At 40.2% G+C, this 19,437-nt stretch overlaps 1 protein-coding gene across 11 annotated transcripts in view, besides 1 other annotated feature; it reads left to right on the forward strand.

Annotated features, from left to right (window-relative positions):
• The window catches only part of CDC42SE2 (CDC42 small effector 2), a 184,621-nt gene that overhangs the window by 63,171 nt on the left and 102,013 nt on the right, over nucleotides 1–19,437 (forward strand). The window contains exon 2 of one of the 11 annotated variants that reach the window (XM_047417397.1): nucleotides 13,443–13,505. The exons of 9 other annotated variants lie outside the window; for them this stretch is intronic. The gene's annotated coding sequence lies outside the window, so the exon portion shown is untranslated. Of the gene's footprint in view, nucleotides 1–13,442; nucleotides 13,506–14,436; nucleotides 14,530–19,437 lie in introns of those variants that run through there. One more of the 11 variants, XM_047417398.1, reaches the window with a different exon arrangement.
• Nucleotides 16,047–16,106: an enhancer, noted in NCBI's record as "active region_23047". NCBI's record gives its function as "activates an Ori minimal core promoter by ATAC-STARR-seq in GM12878 lymphoblastoid cells {active_cell/tissue: GM12878}" and the evidence as "EXISTENCE:reporter gene assay evidence [ECO:0000049][PMID:35858748]".

Consider the following 19,437-nt stretch of genomic DNA (forward strand, 5'->3'; position numbering starts at 1 on the left):
TTGGCTCACTGCAACCTCCGCCTCCTGGGTTCAAGTGATTCTCCTGTCTCAGCCTCCCGAGTACCTGGGACTACAGGCGCCCATCACCACGCCCGGCTTATTTTTGTATTTTTAGTAGAGATTGGGTTTCACCATGATGGCCAGGCTGGTCTCAAACTCTTGACTTCAAGTGATCTGCCCAGCTTGGCCTCCCAAAGTGCTGGGATTATAGGCATGAGCCACTGCGCCCAGCCTTATTTTTTTTTTTAATTAAAAAACTTTTTCTTGGCCAGGCGCGGTGGCTCATGCCTGTAATCCCAGCACTTTGGGAGGCTGAGGCAGGCAGATCACGAGGTCAGGAGATCGAGACCATCCTGGCTAACATGGTGAAACCCCGTCTCTACTAAAAATACAAAAAAAAATTAGCCAGGCGTGGCGGCTGGTGCTTGTAGTCCCAGCGACTAGGGAGGCTGAGGCAGGAGAATGGTGTGAACCCAGGAGGCGGAGCTTGCAGTGAGCCAAGATCGCACCACTGCACTCCAGCCTGGCGACAGAGACTCCGTCTCAAAAAAAAAAAAAAAAGTTTTTTTTTCTTGAGGCAGGGCCTTGCTCATCCTCCAGGCTGGAGTACAGTGGCGTGATCTTAGCTCACTGTGGCCTTGACCTCCCGGGCTCAGGTGATCCTCCTACCTTAGTCTTCCAAGTAGCTGGGACCACAGGTATGTGCCACCACATCCGGCTAGTTTTTTGTATTTTTATAGAGATGGGTTTTCATCATGTTGCCCAGGCTGGTCTTGGGCTCAAGTGATCTGCCTGCCTGGGCCCCCCAAAGTGCTGGGACTACAGGCGTGAGCTACTGCGCCCAGCCTAGAATTATATATTTCAAACTAAAAATGTTATCTTTAGTCTGGATCTGTTTCCTACCTCCAGACTTCTGTATCCATTTGCGTACTCCGCATTTTTAAGTAGATTTCTAATAGGCATCCCAGATTTAATGTCACAACTGAACTCCTTGTCCTCCCTCTTCTCCATCACCCCTCCACCCCAGTAATTGTCCCCATTCCCGTCTTCCTCATCCTATTAAATGTCAACTCCATCTTTCAGTTTCTTTGGCCAAAAACCTAGTAGACATTCTTGACTCTCTTCTTTCTCATACTCCCACATGTGATTCAAATAATTAGCATGAAAACATGTCCCTTATCTATCTTAAAAACTGCCATAAGAATAAATGTAACCACAATTTGCTCTCTTCATCTGCTGCCACCTCTGTAAGCAACCATCGTCTCTTGCATGTATTATTTTAGTAGTCTCTACATGCTGCTTCTGCTGTTTTCTGTTCTCAAACCAGCAACAAGGGCGATCTTTTGAAAATGAAAGTCTGATTATTTTACTCCTGTGTTCAAACCCTTAGTGGCTTTCCATATCGTTTATAAAAACCAGAATACTTAATACCTAAGTATTCAAGAAGTCTTGACCCTTCATCGTCTGTACGTCCTGCTTGTCTGATTTCATGTCTTACCAGTTTCTCCTTGGCTTCTTCCACTCTGGCCACATATAGACCTCCCTGAGGTCTTGAACTTGCCAAGCATAGTGTTGCTTTAGTGCTAGTAGGAATAGAGCTTCGTTTTATTCACTGCAGAATCCCCAGTATTCAGAACAGTGGAGAGCACATAATGGGGACTCAACATTTCCTGAATGAATGACTGTTAATCTTGTCACTCATGTCTTTGGTTACAGCTTATATGAATGTTTCTATAACTAAAAGTATTTGAATTTCACCTAAAACCATGTAGTCCTGTAAGAATTAAGTAGAAACAAATTTAGATGCAAGAGTATGAAGTAAGTTTCAAATCAATTTTTGTGTATGTAAAGTGAAAATACACAGTAAAATGGTAAGGGACAGAGGAGGTAGGAAAGGAAAGGAGATAAACTGATGGAATAAAGAAAAGGAAAACCTGATTTGGTAGTAGGGTGACAGCACCTTAAAAAAACCTATTTTGGGCTTGCGCTATTTTTTTTTAAAGTGATGTTTCTTCAATTCTGAGTGTTGGTGATTTACATGGACTTAGACCCTTCAATTTGGACTATATTGTAATCTTTTTTTTTTTTTTTTGAGACTGAGTCTCGCTCTTTAGCCCAGGCTAGAGTGCGGTGGTGTGATCTCGGCTCACTGCAAACTCCGTCTCCCGGATTCAAGCAATTCTTGTGCCTCAGCCTCCCAAGTAGCTGGGATTACAGGAGTCCACCACCAGGCCAGGCTAATTTTGTTTTTAGTAGGGACCAGGTTTCACCATATTGGCCAGGCTGGTCTCAAACTCCTGACCTCAAGTGATCCACCCACCTGGGCCTTCCAAAGTGCTGGGATTACAGGTGTGAGCCACTGCACCTGGCCGTATAATTTTCTTTTTATCAGGGATGTAGGCTCAAATGAGATTGGGTGCCAAAACTTCATTATTTTTCTTTTCTTTTCTTTTCTTTTCTTGCTAGTTTTTGCTAAACTTCTTTTGTTAAAGAAAGGCAGTTACTGTTACTGAGATAGCTCGATGGTATCCTGTGCATTTTTTTTTGAAAGCTCAAATAGAAGTCTCACAGTTTTAGGGAGGGATTTTTTTTAGTCTACAAAAAGTTATTAGTATGCCTGTCCTCTTAGTACTGTACTGCCTAGTTACTCTCCTTTCAAAAAAAAAAGCGTATATTTATTATATTTCCATGGTAAACTAGCAGCTACAATAATGTACACAACTCTATTGAGTAGTATTTATTAAATGCATATACATATTTGTGTTCCTAAAAATGCTTGTACATACTAAAACTGCAATTTTACTGATAGTTGGGAAATGAAAGTGCAAAAGAAATTAATGACTTGTGAAGTTCTGGTATTTCATTATGTCAAGACAAGATTTTTTTTTTTTTTCCTGAGCTGTAGATCTCATTTGCTGTTGGTTGATTAAGAAAAAAATCTTGGCCAGGTGCGATAGGCTAAGTCTGTAGTCCCAGCACTTTGGGAGGCTGAGGTGAGTGGATTGCTTGAGCTCAGGAGTTCGAGACCAGTCTGGGCAACGAGGCGAAACCCCATCTACAAAAAAAAAAAAAAAATAGAAAAATTAGCCAGGCCTGTACACCCATAGTCCCTCCTACTCAGGAGGCTGAGGTGGGCGGATTGCTTGAGCCTAGAAGGTTGAGGCTGCAGTGAGCCGAGATCTCACCACTGCAGTCTACCCTGGGTGACAGAATGAGACCCTGTTTCAAAAAAAAAAAAAATCTTTTAGATAAGTTGTTAAAATAGGTGGCTTAGAAGTTGGTGAATTAAAGAGATAATGTTTGTGTGCAAGTATAAATTATTCTCGATAAACCAGTGTAAACATTTTCCCATTTTTGTATAATATGCAATAATTTATGTCTTTATTGACTTGTATTGTGGGACTTTCATATCGCCACAATGTGTGTGTGGGTGTGTATATATATCTTTACAGTTTTTGTAATATGCAGATACAATTTAGACTCTCATATAAACATGACCATTAGAATTTTTTTTTTTTTTTTTGAGATGGAGACTTGCTCTGTCACCCAGGTGGGAATGTAGTGGTGCAATTTTGGTTCACTGCAATCTCTGCCTCCTGGCTTCAAGCAATTCTCCTGCTTCAGCCTCCCTAGTAGCTGGGATTACAGGCATGCACCATCATGCCCAGCTAATTTTTTTATTTTTTTTTGTATTTTTAGTAGAGGTGGGGTTTCACCATGTTGGCCAGGCTGGTCTTGAACTCCTGACCTCAGATGATCCGCCCACCTCGGCCTCCCAAACTGCTGGGATTACAGGCGTGAGCCACCGCACTTGGCGACCATTATAATTTTTAAAAAGCCTGTTTACATACCAAATAAAATCATCATGTTGGATGACACACTAGAAGTGTTTCTTTACAATTTTGAAATAATCTATTTTATAGACTAGGTAGTTTTCATTAGAATTTGACATTGACCTAGTTGAATTCATATGTTAGCATTTCACACATAACCATCTTGGATTAATGAGATCCTTGTTTCTGAGCTGGTGTGTAGTCCTACCACTCAGTTTATTTCAGCTGTATTCATAGTTTGATGCCCGCCATCCTACTTTAACTTCATAATGTTCTGTTTAGATTATTAAGTAATCAAAGTGGTCATATTGAGAAAACTGAATACAATTAATAGGTGTGACCCCAGTCTCATAAGGGGTCATTAAAATAATGCATGACATTATGCCTTCATTTATTCCATTCAGTACATTTATCAAACTACTATGTGAAGTTGTTTCTCAACCCATTCAGAATAAGATATAAACTGTACTCACCCAGAAAATACAAACTCAACAGTCTGTACATAATTTGGCCCTAACAGCCTATTATCTCACCTTTGCTCACTACACTCTGGCCAAGTTAGTCTGTTCAGTTTCTCAAACATGCCATTCTTGGCCTTGGCTTAGAGCTTTTACACTGGTTGTTTCCTTTGTTTGAAATGGTGTTTTCCCAGATGTTTTTTAGCCTGGCCCTTTACCTTTCCAATCTCAGCTTAAATATCACCTCCTGCTTCCTCACCACTCAGTTAAAAATAGGTCCTCCCCATCACTGTTTTAATTTCTTCATGCCATTTGTGAGTCCTTGAAATTATGTGTTTTTTAAAATTAATTTTTATGACAGTAGGGACTTCCTTTGTCTTATTCCTTGCTGTCTACAATGCCCGAAACAATACTGGCACCAAAAGGTGTTCAGTAAAAAAAAGTGTTGAGAGGATAAAGCCAGGTACCAATTTCATCTATTCCCCCCACTTTTTTTTTGAAATGGAGTCTTGCTCTGTCTCCCAGGCTGGAGTTCAGTGGCATGATCAGGACTCACTGCAGCCTTTGGTCCTATCAATTCTTGTGCCTCAGCCACCCAAGTAGCTGGGATTCCAGGTGTGTGCCACCACGCTAGCCAATTTTTTATTTTTAGTAGAGATGGGGTTTCTCCTTGTTGGCTAGGCTAGTTGAGAATGTGATCCACATTTGGGAGATCCCGCCTGGGCCTCCCAAAGTGCTGGGATTACAGATGTGTGCCACTGCGCCTGGCCTATTCTTCCTTGTGAGTGATTTTAGTGTATTAATAATTTAAAATGTCAAAAGCCTATTTCTCCTAACCTAGAAAAGAAACTGGATTATTCCGATAAAAGCCTGTTTTAGAAAAGGATGAGAAAATTTAGGAACTGTTGTGATGATTCTTAGATCAGAGTAGTTAAGTGGAGCCAGTGTTGTGCTGGAACTGGTTAGCTGATTGTGCCTCTCTCTCCAGCTCCATGTGTGACATCATGTTAGTAGCTTGAAACTGGCCATGGTGGGACATTTACAGCATGGCAGACTGCAGAAGCTACAAATCAGGGGCCCTTTTCTCAAAGAGGTGGTCAAATATTTATCAGCAGACCACTGGCAGTGGGACCATATGAAATTGTTGTTTTTATAGACAAAAAAAATGCTTGAATATTGGCAGTTCCTTTCCTTTCCTCTCCCCTCCCCTCCCCCCTCCCCTCCCCTCCCCCTCCCCTCCCCTCTCCTCTCCCCTCTCCTCTCTTCTCCCCTCCCTTCTTTTTTTTTTTTAAAGACAGAGTCTGTTTGTTGCCCAGGCTAGAGTGCAGTGGCTTGGTCTTGGCTCACTGCAACCTCTGCCTCCTAGGTTCAAGTGATTCTCCTGCCTCAGCCTCCCGAGTAGGTGAGACTACAGGTGTGCACCACCACGCCCGACTAATTTTTGTATTTTTAGTAGAAACAGGGTTTCATCATGTTGGCCAGACTGGTCTTGAACTCCCAACCTCAAGTGATGCGCATGCCTCGATCTCCCAAAGCTCTGGGATTACAGGCGTAAGCCACCACACCTGGTGAATATTGGCAATTTCTTATGGTTTAGTCTAGTAGAATTACTTATTTTGGTTTAAAGAAATTTCTTTATGGTGGTCAGTGGAGTTATATCAGTGCTTTTACCTTCTTTTTCAAAGTTATGTTCTCTTTACATCTGATGATTACTTCTAGATTCATTTATTGCATAAAATGTGCTATTTATATGTTTGTATATTGTTTAACTGTGTATCTAATAGTTCATTCCAAAGCAGGCACAAAAGATCTTCAGATCCTCTGACAGAGTGTTCTTGGTTTTACTGCTTATGCTAAATAAGATTATTGAAAGGCGTTACTTTTCTGGTCAAGAAAGCAGAACTGATTCAGTTTGTTATATAGCATTTTCTCAGCCCTCCCCCCCCCCCTTTCAGAATAATTTACATAAATACTCCTGAGTTCAATTTTTTTTAACTTTTTTTTCTGCTTTTACTTATTACCCTTTAAGTGCTTGCTTACTTTCTCTGATAATTTACTTTCTTCTACTCTGTGATTTCTTTTACAAATCAATGAAATGGTGTTGTCTTGTTTTCTCAAGTTTTTTCCTGTTACCTTTCCTGTGGTCACCTGGACATTCCAGTCCGTTTTCCACACTCTCCCTCTACCTTCTCCCCCAGTTCTTTAAAGAGACACAAAGTTACAGGCAGCATTTTCTGACTGGAGAAAAATTATTGTTTAAAAATTGAACTCTGAGACTGGGCACAGTGGTTGGCTCACGCTTGTAATCCCGGCACTTTGGGAGGCTGAGGTGGGCGATTGCTTGAGTACAGGAGTTCGAGATCAGCCCAGGCAACAGGGTGAAACCCTATCTCTATAAAAAATACAAAAATTAGCTGGGCATGAGTGTGTTTATGACCCCAGCTCCTTGGGGGCTGAGGTGGGAGGTTGCTTGAGCCTAGGATGTCAAGGCTTCAGTGAGCTGAGCTCACACCACTGCACTCCAGCCTGGATGACAGAGCAAGACCCTGTCTCAAAGAAAAATTGAACTTAGTTGGCTCGGGAGTTTATTGGCATTTTTTGAGCAACAGTTGCTTTGTTAATTCTGAATAACTGGATTTGAACTGGTGCTACTGAATTAAAATATGGGGTCTACATTTCTTACCCTTTAACTGAAATTATTCTCTTTTATGCACACACACAAACTGTATTTAATGTAGAACATCAGAAAGTATATACAAGCTAAGGAAAAAGTTTTAATCCTACCACCCTAAAATATAATAACTAGTCAGTGGTCATGTTTTGATGAACATCCTTCCAGATACCTCAATATGAATATATGTTTTTTCACAAAATCTTACATAGACTCTGACATTTCACTTTAACGAATATTATCATAAAAGTATTACTTTTTATTACTTCAGTTTGAAAGGGTCATATTGGAAAGTGAAAATTCTGTTTGACGAGGATAAAGCTGTAGGTAAAGTTGTGATTAAAAACAATGGTGTTTATAGAGAGTAGAATGTGGTAAGTCAACTGGAGAAAAGAATTACTTTCAGCAGTAATTTTTTTCTTAAGAGCCCTCTTACCATTGCACAATAGCCTGATTGTTTTATACTAGCTGATGAAAACCATTCAGGATTCTATGTACAGCAGAATTATTTTAATAATAGCCCTAGGGTAAAATATGAGCCTGTAGATAAGTTTATATTTTTTAGTCTGTCCAAGTCCGACTGATCCTTTAATAGTAAAATAATTTTGGAAGAAAACTGTGTTTTATTGAAGGCCTTCATCTATCTGTAGTATGACAATTTTATTAGATATTGCTACCCTTTTTATGTGTGAGAATGAGGAGTGAAATAGTTCTTGGAAAAATTTTAGCATGTAAGAATTCTTATGTTAATGTTTCCTTTGATTTTTGTTTTATGAATGTGAAAAATCCTTGTGGAAGAATTGCTCATATATATTGGTATATTGCATTCTTTGGAAATCACCAGTTCCAAATTTGTCAAGTGGTTGTTTGGGTCGTTAAATAGCAATTGTAAAAGCAAATCAAAGATCCTTTAAGGATTTTTCCTTGATCACAGTGATATCCATTACCTGGGGTAGAGTAGACCGCTGATGTCTTGCCTTCATTTTTATTGTTCTTAACCTCGTCCTTTCTGTGTTGTATCACTGCTTGCTCACAAGCTCCTCCAGTCTTTTTCTCTTCAGTAGCTTTTTCTCTTACCCCCTTGTGCTACTTCCTGAATGGTGTATATGTTGCTGAAAACATTTCTCATGTGGTAAAGAAGAGTAAAGAGCAATGTAGTTGATGTGGCCTTTTCTACTGAGAAATGATGCATTTGTGGTCTACAGAAGAGACTTGACAGCCCCTAAAGAAGTGTTTTTTATCTACATTACATGTTTGTGAGTGGATATGCAAGTGCCTCTGTTGGAAGGTAAAGTGAATCTTGAAACAAATTCTAGAAAAGTGTTTAGAATTATTCCATACATTTTGCTGTTGAAAAAATAGTATTTAAAGAAAGTTTCATCTCACAGTGAATTTTTAGCCTCCTCTTTTAAGATTTATTTTGTGAACAGTGACCTTGTTTTTGTAAACTCTACTCTGAAGAAGTTTAGAAATTAGTCACACAGTAAGTGGCAGAACAAGTATTCAAAGTCTTGCCTGATTTTCCATAGTCATTTAGCTTGGAAAGCATTGTAAAGTGGCAGAAAGAATATGGACTTTGAAATTTAGACACACCTCGATTTGATCTCTAACTTTGCTGCATATTTGCTGCGTGGCAAGTTCTTACCGTTGGTGATTTTCATTTTCCTTTTCAGTTAAGTGAGAGTAATACATTTGTTAGGATTAAATGAAGTAATGCACATAAAGCATTTGGCTTGTAGAATAAGATGTTAATAAATGTTTAATTTCCTTTCAACAATACCATATCGTTTTAAAATGTCTTGGGAGCCACTTGGACATTTCACTTGAAAGTTAAGTGCCATCAGGAAACTAGAAACATGTATAACCCAGGTAGTGATCTTTCAGGGAAATTTTAATTTCCCTGTCTAAGGAGGAGAGTAGTTTTTCGGACTGTTTTAAAAATATGTGACTTAAAGGAAAGTTTTAAGGTTAAAAGCTGAAATAGAACTGAGTTAGGATGAGTTAATTATTGCTGACCAAAATTGTAAGAAAGTCCATTTCTACATTTCCTGAGAAATCGAAACATTTGTGTTATATACATAGAGAAGTCACTTTTAAAGGCTAAGAACTGACCATTTGAAAAGTTTATGATTAAGATATGGGGAGAAAGTGTTCATTTTTAAAGTAATAAACAATAGCAAGTTTCTCTTATCAGATTTAAGGTTTAAGGAATGGTGCTTGTTCAGACCTGAGTACAGTGATGACACAGGTACTAAATATGTTGTTGGAGGTAGTATAAATCTGGAACCTGTTTCAAAAGCGCTTTGGCATATTTGTGTGTATTTCCACTTCTGAGAGATTATTCTAAGGAAGTAACCTTTTTTTTTCTTCTTTGGGGGGAGAGGAGGTTATTTTCCTTCCTTAATGACACCCTAATTGAGATAATTCACATAAAAAATCACCTTTTTAAAATTATTATTATTGAGATGGAATCTTGCTCTGTCACCTAGGCTGGAGTGCAGTGGCGCGATCTCGGCTCACTGCAAGCTCCGCCTCCCGGGTTCATGCCATTCTCCTGCCTCAGCCTCCCGAGTAGCTGGGACTACAGGTGCCCGCCACCATGCCTGGCTAATGTTTTTGTATTTTTAGTAGAGACGGGGTTTCACCATATTAGCCAGGATGGTCTTGATCTCCTGACCTCGTGATGCGCCTGCCTTGGCCTCCCAAAGTCCTGGGATTACAAGTGTGAGCCACTGCACCTGGCCCTTTTTTTTTTTTTTTAAGATGGAGGTTCACTCTTGTTGCCCAGGCTGGAGTGCAGTGGTGCAGTCTCGGCTCACCGCAGCCTCCACCTCCCGGGTTCAAGCGATTCTCCTGCCTCAGCCTCCCGAGTAGATGGGATTACAGGCATGTGCCACCATGCCTGGCTAATTTTGTATTTTTAGTAGAGATGGGGTTTCTCCATGTTGTTCAGGCTGGTCTCGAACTCCTGACCTCAGGTGATCTGCCCGCCTTGGCCTCCCAAAGTGCTGGGATTACAGGCATGAGCCACTGCGCCTGGCCAAAATCACCTTTTTTACATAAGTCAGTGTTGTACAACCGTTGCTACTAATTTTATATTTTCATCACCCCAAAACAAAATGAGTAGTCATTTCTGTTCTTCCCTCCCCACATCCTCTGATAGCCGTTTACATATTTTCTCTTTCTAGATTTGCCTCTTTGGACATTTAATGTAAGTGGAATCATGCGATATGTGACCTTTTGTGTCTGGCTTTTTTCATTTAGCATAATGTTTCAAGATTTATTCATATAGCATGTATCAGTACATCATTCTCTTTTTTTTTTTTGAGATGGAGTTTCGCTCTTGTTATCCAGGCTGGAGTGCAGTGGTGTGATCTCGGCCCACTGCAACCTCTGCCTCCTGGGTTCAAGTGATTCTCCTGCCTCAGCCTCCCAAGTAACTGGGATTGCAGGCCTGTGCCACCATGCCTGGCTAATTTTGTATTTTTAATGGAGACGAGGTTTCTCCATGTTGTTCAGGCTGGTCTTGAACTCCCGACCTCAGGTGATCCGCCCATCTCGGCCTGCCAAAGTGCTGGGATTACAGGTGTGAGCCACTGCGCCAGGCCCATCATTCTCTTTTATGGCTGAATATTATTCTGTTGAATGCTTATACAGTATTTTATTTGTCCATTTATCAGTGAATGGACGTTGGGTTGTTTGCACATTTCAGTTATGAATAATGCTGCTATAAATATGAACATTCATGTACAAGTTTTTGCATGGATTTGTTTTAATTTATCTTGGGTATATATACCTAGGAGTAGAGTTGCTGGGTTGTATGGTAACTCTGTGTTTAATATTTTGCAGAACTGCTAGTCTGTTTTCTAAAGTGGCTGCATAGTTTTACGTTTCCATCAGCCGTGTAGGAAATATGTGGCCTTTTGTAATTGGCTTCTTTCACTTAGCATAATATGTTCAAGGTTTATCCATGTTGTGGTATGTATCAGTACTTCATTCCTTTTAATGGCTGAATAATGTCCCATTGCATGGATATAACACATTTATCCTTCAGAAAGCTTTTTATCCAAAAGTATTCAGTGAAGCATTAGTTATAATTTTAAAAAATTGAAAATTACCTTAATTTTTAACAAAAAAGAGTCGTTAAATTAGGTACATCTGCATATATCTTTTATTAGTAATTCATTGTAAAGGATTTCAAAGGAAAACAATTGTTAGAGTGCTAAAGTAGGATACAAAATTGTACGTGTACAACTGTTCAGTGTACCTGGTTTTGGGGGATGGTTATTAATTTCTTTATTTTTAATTTTCTTAGTCTCCTCTGTTGCCCAGGATGGAGTGCAGTAGTGTGATCATACTTGGTGTAACCTCGAACTCCAGGGCTCAAGTAAGCCTCGCACCTCAGCCTCCTGAGTAGTTAGGACTACAGGCACATGTCATCATGCCCAGCTAATTTAAAAATTTTTTTTGGTAGAGATAGGGTCTTGCTCTGTTGCCCAGGTTGGTTGTGAACTCCTGGGCTCAAGCAATCCTGTGCCTTAGCCTCCTAAAGCACTGTGATTACAGATGTAAGCTACTGGGCCCAGCCCCCAATTTAAAAATGTTTCTATATTTTCCACACTTTTTACAATGATCATATATTCCTTTTATAATCAAAGTAAAAGAATAGTTTTTTTAAATGATAATAGAGGTTGCCTATGGTGGTGTGCGCTTTAGTCCCAGCTACATGGGAGGCTGAGGTGAGAGGATTGCTTGAGCCAAAGGACTTGAGTCTAGCCTGGACAACATAATGAGACCCTATCTCTAAAAAAACAAAACCCAGACCAGGCACAGTGGCTCATTCCTGTAATCCCAGCACTTTGGGAGGACAAGGTGGGAGGATTGCTTGAGCCCTGGAGTTTGAGACCAGCTTGGACAACATAAAAAAACCCTGTCTCTGAAAAAAAAAAAAAATTGCCTGGTGAGGTGGTATACACCTTTGTCCCAGCAACTCAGGAGGCTGAGACAGGAAGATCTCTGGAGCCTGGAAGGTTGAGGCTGTAGTGAGCTCGGGTTGTGCTCCAGCCTGGGTGACAGAGTGAGACCCTGTTGCTCCCCCCGCCCCAAAATAAAACCCAAAACCGTAAAACCAACAGTAGCTGTATCTTTGTATGTTACTGATATAAATTTATTCAGCCAAGAAAAGCAGGATCATCAGTGTAAGGAGTGTTAATATTCTATATTGATTCATGATTAGCATATATTATAAATAAAATAATTTCTGACTATGGCTAAGAGAACTTTTAATTTTTCACATGGACCTAAGCATTTCAATTTATAATAGCAGTGTAGAATAATTCTTGTGTATTTGACTTCTGAAATGAGGGAGAGGAAAAATACAGGCAATGCATATTTTAAGCATAATGAACAGTATTGTTTCTTTCAGAGCTCCTTGCAAGAAACAAACTCTATTCTAGGATTTTTAGGCAGAAAGATATCTTATGGTAGGCAATTTGGTACTTACAAAATCATTGCATGGTCTGGAAGAGCTGGAATCAGAGGGTTATCACTAGATTAATATATTCAAGAACATAAGCCCATAGCTGTGACTGAGAGGTCAGGAAACAAACTGGTAAGTAGTCATAGGAACACTGAATCTGGTACCACAGCTTCTTCCAGTTGCCTTTATATCTGGTGAGTAGAGTTAGGCTATCACAATTGTTTCTAAACCTTCTTTGTGTCATTGCTCACCACTTAAATCAGCAACAGAAAGATAGCTTCCATTATCACTTCTGCTTTACAAATCTCATAAGAGGCTGTCTAACTAGCAGAACCTTGTTTGCATTTCCAATACTAACTGTAAAGGAAAGTCTGGGAAATGTAGCTTTTTTTTTTTTTTTTTGGTTGGGGGGACAGGGTCTCACTGTGTCACCCATGCTGGAGTGCAGTGACATGATCTTGGCTCACTGCAGCCTCAACCTCCTGGGCTCAAGCAATCCTCCTGGGCCCAAGCAGTCCTCCCCGGCTCAAGAGGTCCTCCTTAGTAGCTGGGACTATAGGTGCTCATCACCACACCCAGCTAATTAAAAAAATTGTTTTTTGTGGAGATGGGATCTCACTGTATTGCCCAGTCTGGTCTTGAACTCCTGGGCTTAAGTGATCCTCCTGCCTTGGCCTCTCAAAATGCTGGGATTATAGGCATGAGCAAATGCACCTGGCCAGTTTTTTTTTTTTTTTTTTTTTTTAAATAAAGCATTCCTGCCCTTGACGTACAAGAAGGCACGTATAGGGAGTGGTGAGAGGGAATGAATGCCAACTATTTCATGACTAGCCTTCAGAAGCCTCTGTTTACTAGGTAATAAGGCTTTATACTCAGCGTACAGTTGACCCTTGAACAACATGGGTTTGAACCGTGCAATTCCACTTACATGTAGGCTTTCTTTAGCCTCTGCCACCCCTGAGACAGCGAGACCAACCCCTCCTTTTCCTCCTTCTCTTCAGTCTACTCAACTTGAAGATGATAAGGATGAAGACTTTATGATGATCTACTCCACTTAATGAATAGTAATTATATTTTCTCTTCTTTATGATTTTCTTAACATTTTCTTTTCTCTAGCTTAATTTATTGTAATAATACAATATATAATACATATACTAGATACATGTTAATGGACTGTTTCTGTTAATGTAAGGCTCCTGGTCAGCAGTAGGCTATTAACTTTTGGGAGTCAAAAGTTACTTGCAGATTTTTGATGGAGTGAGGGGCTGACAGGTTGCCGGGACCATAATCCCTGTGTAGTTCATGGGTCAACTGTATTTTATTTACTATTTTATTCTATTTTATTTTTTTAGATGGAGTTTTGCTCTGTCGCCCAGGCTGGAGTGCAGTGGCGCAATCTTGGCTGACTGCAACCTCTGCCTCCTGGGTTCAAGCGATTCTCGTGCCTCAGTCTCCCAAGTAGCTGGGATTATAGGGGCCCGCCACCATGCCCAGCTAATTTTTGTATTTTTAGTAGAGACTGGGTTTCACCATGTTGGCCATGCTGGTCTCAAACTCCTGACCTCAGGTAATCCACCCGCCTTGGCCTCCCAAAGTGCTGGGATTACAGGCGTGAGTCACCTCGCCCGGCCTTGGGTCAGCTGTATTTTAAAGGTGGTAAGGTTAACAATATTCAACTTAGATTTGATTTGTTCAGAAATTTTTCTTTTCTTTTAATCTGAACCATTGATGTTCTATTTTCATAATGTGTCAGTTGTAGTGTTTCATTGGAAGTAAATGGATGTTTGTAGAATTTTTTTTCTTTTTCTTTTTTTTTTTTGAGACAGGATCTCACTCTGATGCCCAGGCGAGTGCAGTGGCACGATCATGTCTCACTGCAGCCTCAACTTCCTGCGGTCAGGTGATTCTCCCACCTCAGCCTCCCAAGTCGGTGGGACTATAGGTGTGTGCCACCATGCCCAGCTTTTTTTTCTTTTTTTTTGCATTTTTTTGTAGAGATGGGGCTCCGCCATGTTGCCCAGGCTGGTCTCGAACTACTAGGTTCCAGTGATCCGCCCTCTTCGGCCTCCCAAAGTGTTGGAATTACAGGTGTGAAGCACCATATCCTACCGAAATTTTCTTTGTAGTGTGTTTCTCTTTGGATTGAATAGGTAAAATATTGCCAATAGATGTAAAAGTCTCCATACTTTTTTCCCTAATAGTTGGGCTTTTATAGAATTGAATTAATATGTAATTTTTTTTCTTTTATTATTTGATTATTTTACCTCCATTTATTATTTTGTCAAAAATGGGAGAAGTGGCCGGGCGTGGTGGCTCACACCCATAATCCCAGCACTTTGAGAAACGGAGGCAGGTGGATCGCATGAGCCCAGGAGTTTGAGACCGGCCTGGGCAAAATAGTGAGACTCTATCTCTATCAAAAAAGTAAATAAATAAATTAGCTTGGCATGGTGGTCCCAGCTACTTAGAAGGATTGCTTAAGCCCCGGAGGTTGAGGCTACAGTGGGTCATGATCATCCCACTACACTCCAGCCTGGGTGACAGAGGGAGACCCTGCCTCAAAAAAAAAAAAAATTGTGGTAATGTTTAAAAATAGTATGTGAACTAGTAAATGCAACTTTTCCTCTTATAATGTGGAATCAAGATGTTACACTTTTTAGTTCCTGATAAAATAAAGTTTTGAGAATGCTAGAAGATACTTAAGTGTAATTTTTTTATCTGAAGATATTTCTACCTCCCAAGTTTCATGAAATATCAGCCTATTGAGTAGTTTCAGTATGGTGAGTGTCTCATTAAAAAGCCATATGCTAAATAACTTCCAAATACTGTAATTTCGATTCCTTTTTTTTTAGAGAGAGCCTCACTCTATGGTCCAGGCTGAAGTGCAGTGGTGCAGTCATACCTCACTACAGCCCCAAACCCCTGGCTTCAGATGATCCTTCTGCCTCAGTATCTGAGATAGCTGGGAATATAGGTTTGAGCCACTGGGCCTGGTAGATTCTTCACTAAGTATTTGAGAGCAAATTAGGGATTTTTAGCTTCTGGTACCATTTGTTGCTTGCAACAGAAAGTTAGGTTGACCTGGAAACTTAACTGCTTTAGAGATACCTACTGACTACTTTGGCAAGGACCTGGAAACTTAACTGCTTTAGAGATGCTATTGACTACTTTGGAGGAGCAAGGAATGAGGCTTTGGTATAGACATTTTCAGGCACTGAAATTTAAGGGTTGTTGTTGTTCCTTCTACCCCCACCACTTTTCAAATTGATTACTTTTCTTTGATCAGTATTATTTATTAATAGTATTCTGTGTCAGCAAGTTAGGGTAATTGTTAAATGTTTTGGCTCCTGTATTCTATACATTTTTTTTGTAAAAACTGCTTAATACATTTTAGAGCTGACATTAATGTTTTTCATCATAAGTTTAAAAGGTTGCAAAAGATTTAGTTTCTGGTGTATTGTCTGTTGTATATGTTTTTACATAATGTATTGACTAAGATCTTGACCTTAAAGTGATTTTGGTTATTCACTTTAATGGGAAGTACTGCTATAAAATCTAATTGCTGGTCCTCATAGTCAAACCAGCCAAATGGAGTATGTTTTCTCATCAGAAGTGGTTTTATTTTTAATTCTAAGAAACACATCGGTACCTGCACTCAGTGACTTTCACTTTCTACTTCTAAGACAGGTTGATAAAGCAAGGAGTCATGTCAAGAGTTTGTAGCATAGGCCGGGTGCAGTGGCTCACGCCTGTAATCCCAGCACTTTGGGAGGCCGAGGCGGGTGAATCACGAGGTCAGGAGATCGAGACCATCCTGGCGAACATGGTGAAACCCTGTCTCTACTAAAAAATACAAAAAATTAGCTGGGCGTGGTGGCACGCGCCTGTAGTCCCAGCTACTCTGGAGGCTGAGGCAGGAGAATGGCATGAACCCAGGAGGCAGAGCTTGCAGTGAGCTGAGATCGCACCACTGCACTCCAGCCTGGGTGACAGAGCGAGACTCTGTCTCAAAAAAAAAAAAAAGAGTTTGTAGCATAAGGCATCATTTCTTTCAGTATTTCTTGTTTTGCTCACATGAGACTTTTCCCCAGTCTCTCCCAATTGTCCTTTTGGTGCATTGGAGATTTCTTGAGGTAAGGAACATGTTAAAACTTGAGATGAATAAGAGAAATGACTTTTTTTTTTTCCTTCTTAGAAACAGGGACTCGCTCTGTCACCTAAGCTGTAGTAGAGTGGCACAGTCATAACTCACTACTGCAGCCTCAAACTCCTGGGCTCAAGTAGTCCTTTTGCCTCAGCCTTTTGAGTAGCTAGGATCACAGGTGCGTGCCACCATTCTTGGCTAATTATTTTATTTTACTTTTGTAGAGACAGGGTCTCACTATGTTGCCCAGGCTGGTCTTCACCTCCTGGCCTAAAGTGATCCTCCTGCCTCCACCTCCCAAAGTGCTACGATTATAGGTGTGAGCTACTGTGTCTGGCCTTGACTTTCTTTTATAACATAGAAGAGCTATTGTGAAAGGAAAGATGGAAGAGACAAGGAATCGTGCTTGGATACGTCAATTTTAGAAGAGCACAAAAGGCAGTTGGTGATCTGAAAATTGATTTCCTTAAAATTGTCTAGACCTGTGTACCCCCTGGAAAGTATCAAACCTTATACTGGGTTGAGGACTCTTGAGTTAAGGGAACAGCTTATCTTCTGCCTTAATTGGTATCGTGTATTTATCTTTTGAAGTAAATTATTTCACTTTTTAATTTTACCTTGAAAGTTTTGAGAAACTGTATAACTGGCTGCTTCTTTTTTCTTTCTTTTTTTTTTTTTGTTTTTTTTTTTTTTGAGACAGGGTATGGCTCTGTCGCCCAGGCTGGAGTGCAGTGGCGCGGGGTCAATGGCAGCCTCCACCTCCCAGGGCTCAAATGATCCTCCCATCTCAGACTCCTGAGTAGCAGAGACTACAGGCTGGCACCAGGCTGGCTGGTTAATTTTTGTATTTTTAGTAGAGACGGGATTTGGCCATGTTGCCCAGGCTGATCTCAAACTCCTGGGCTCAAGTGATCTGCACACCTCGTCCTCCCAGAGTGGTAGGATTATAGGCATGAGCCACCATGCCTGGCCATAACTGACTTTTATGATGAAACCAGCGTAGTTTTTATAGTACTTTACAGGCCAGCGAACATAGTAATTAGAACCTCATGGAAGTGATTGCCAAAATATAAAAATTAGAAAAAAAGAAAACTGTATCTTTGTCTTTTACTCCATACCAAGGTAAATTCTTGATTTTTCCCAGAGTTCAAGATAAAAAAGGAAAACCTTAAAAATACTAGGAGAAAACATCGGTCAATATAAAAACTCTTGGGTATGGGGAGGGCTTTCACAAGAAGCCTTATAGAGAAATATTTATAAGTGTGCCTGATTTGTAAGTAAGATTGTTCTGTGGTCTGTAGTTGTTGTTTTTTAATTATTTCTTAATGCTATTTGGTTAGCCATGTCAAATTGTCATATCTTAATCACTTATAAAATGTTTATATAATGAAGGTGAATTATTATGGTCCATGAATTTATGTATATGATTTTTTTTTTAAAAAAGGACTTATTCAGAATGGTGGTTCCCTACCCTGGCAGTACACTAAAATAGTCTGGTGGTACCCTTAACAAAACACAGGTTCCTGGGAACCACTCCTAGGAATTGATTAATTTGTCTGATGTGGGGCTTTGGCATTAATATTGCTTTAGAAGCTCACCAGTTTATTTTACTATCCACTCGGAATTGAAAACTACGTTTTTGAAGGATTTGTTTTCACTTTGATCTTTATTTTGTTTAGTTACTCTTTTTTTTCTCCTTCCCTTGAACTCAGTTTGGTACATTAAAAGACTAAATATAATATTATAGAGTCCAGCATGCTCCTTTTTCTCATTAAAGAAGTAAATCTCCAAATTATTGTTTTATAGCCATAACTTTTTTAAAAATATGAATTCTTCTTTAGAAATAGTTTTCAAAATACATGTAAGATCAAGACTGCCATTTACATCTAAGTAATCTTGCAAGTTTTATATTACCTTTTCCCTCTGCTCTTTAAATACAAATAACCCTTCAAAAATACTGATATAACAAACACCACCCGGGACTCATCAGCCTTTCTGATGGTTTCTTTGGTAAGTTAAGGGTTTATTTGGCACTTCATAATAGACAAGGTTGTACATATGTAGAAGTGGGGAGAAATTAGTTAGGAAACCAGTCTGTTATGTTCTCTTGGAATTAACTCTTGATTATTAAGCATCTTAAAAATGAGTATCTTTGGCTGGGTGTGGTGGCTCACACCTGTAATCCCAGCACATTGGGAGGCAGAGGTGGACGGATCACGAGGTCAAGAGATTGAGACCATCCTGGCTAACATGGTGAAACCCCATCTCTACTAAATAAAAAATTAGCTAGGCATGGTGGCGCATGCCTGTTGTCTCAACTACTCGGGAGGCTGAGGCAGGAGAATCGCTTGAGCCTGGGAGGCGGAGGTTGCAGTGATCCGAGATTGTACCACTGCACTCCAGCCTGGTGACAGAGTAAGACTCTGTCTCACCAAAAAAAAAAAAAAAAAAAAAAAAAGATAATAATAATATCTTCCCAGCTGGACACAGTGGCTCACATCTGTAATCCCAGCACTTTGGGAGGCTGAGGCGGGTGGATCACCTGAAGTCAGGAGTTAGAGACTAGCCTGGCCAACATGGTGAAAACCCATCTCTACTAAAAATACAAAAATTAGCCTGGTATGGTGGCACATGCCTGTAATCCCAGCCACTTGGGAGGCTGAGGCAGGAGAATTGCTTCAACCCAGGAAGCGGAGGTTGCAGTGAGCCGAGACTGCACTCCAGCCCGGGTGACAGAGTGAGACTCCATCTCAAAAAAAAAAAAAAAACAAAAAACAAAAAACTTGGTAATTTAAAAGTACACAGTTAGGGCTGGGTGTGGTGGCTTGTGCCTGTAATCCCAGCACTTTGGG

Source organism: Homo sapiens, chromosome 5 (genome assembly GCF_000001405.40).
Source record: "Homo sapiens chromosome 5, GRCh38.p14 Primary Assembly".
Lineage (NCBI taxonomy): Eukaryota > Metazoa > Chordata > Mammalia > Primates > Hominidae > Homo > Homo sapiens.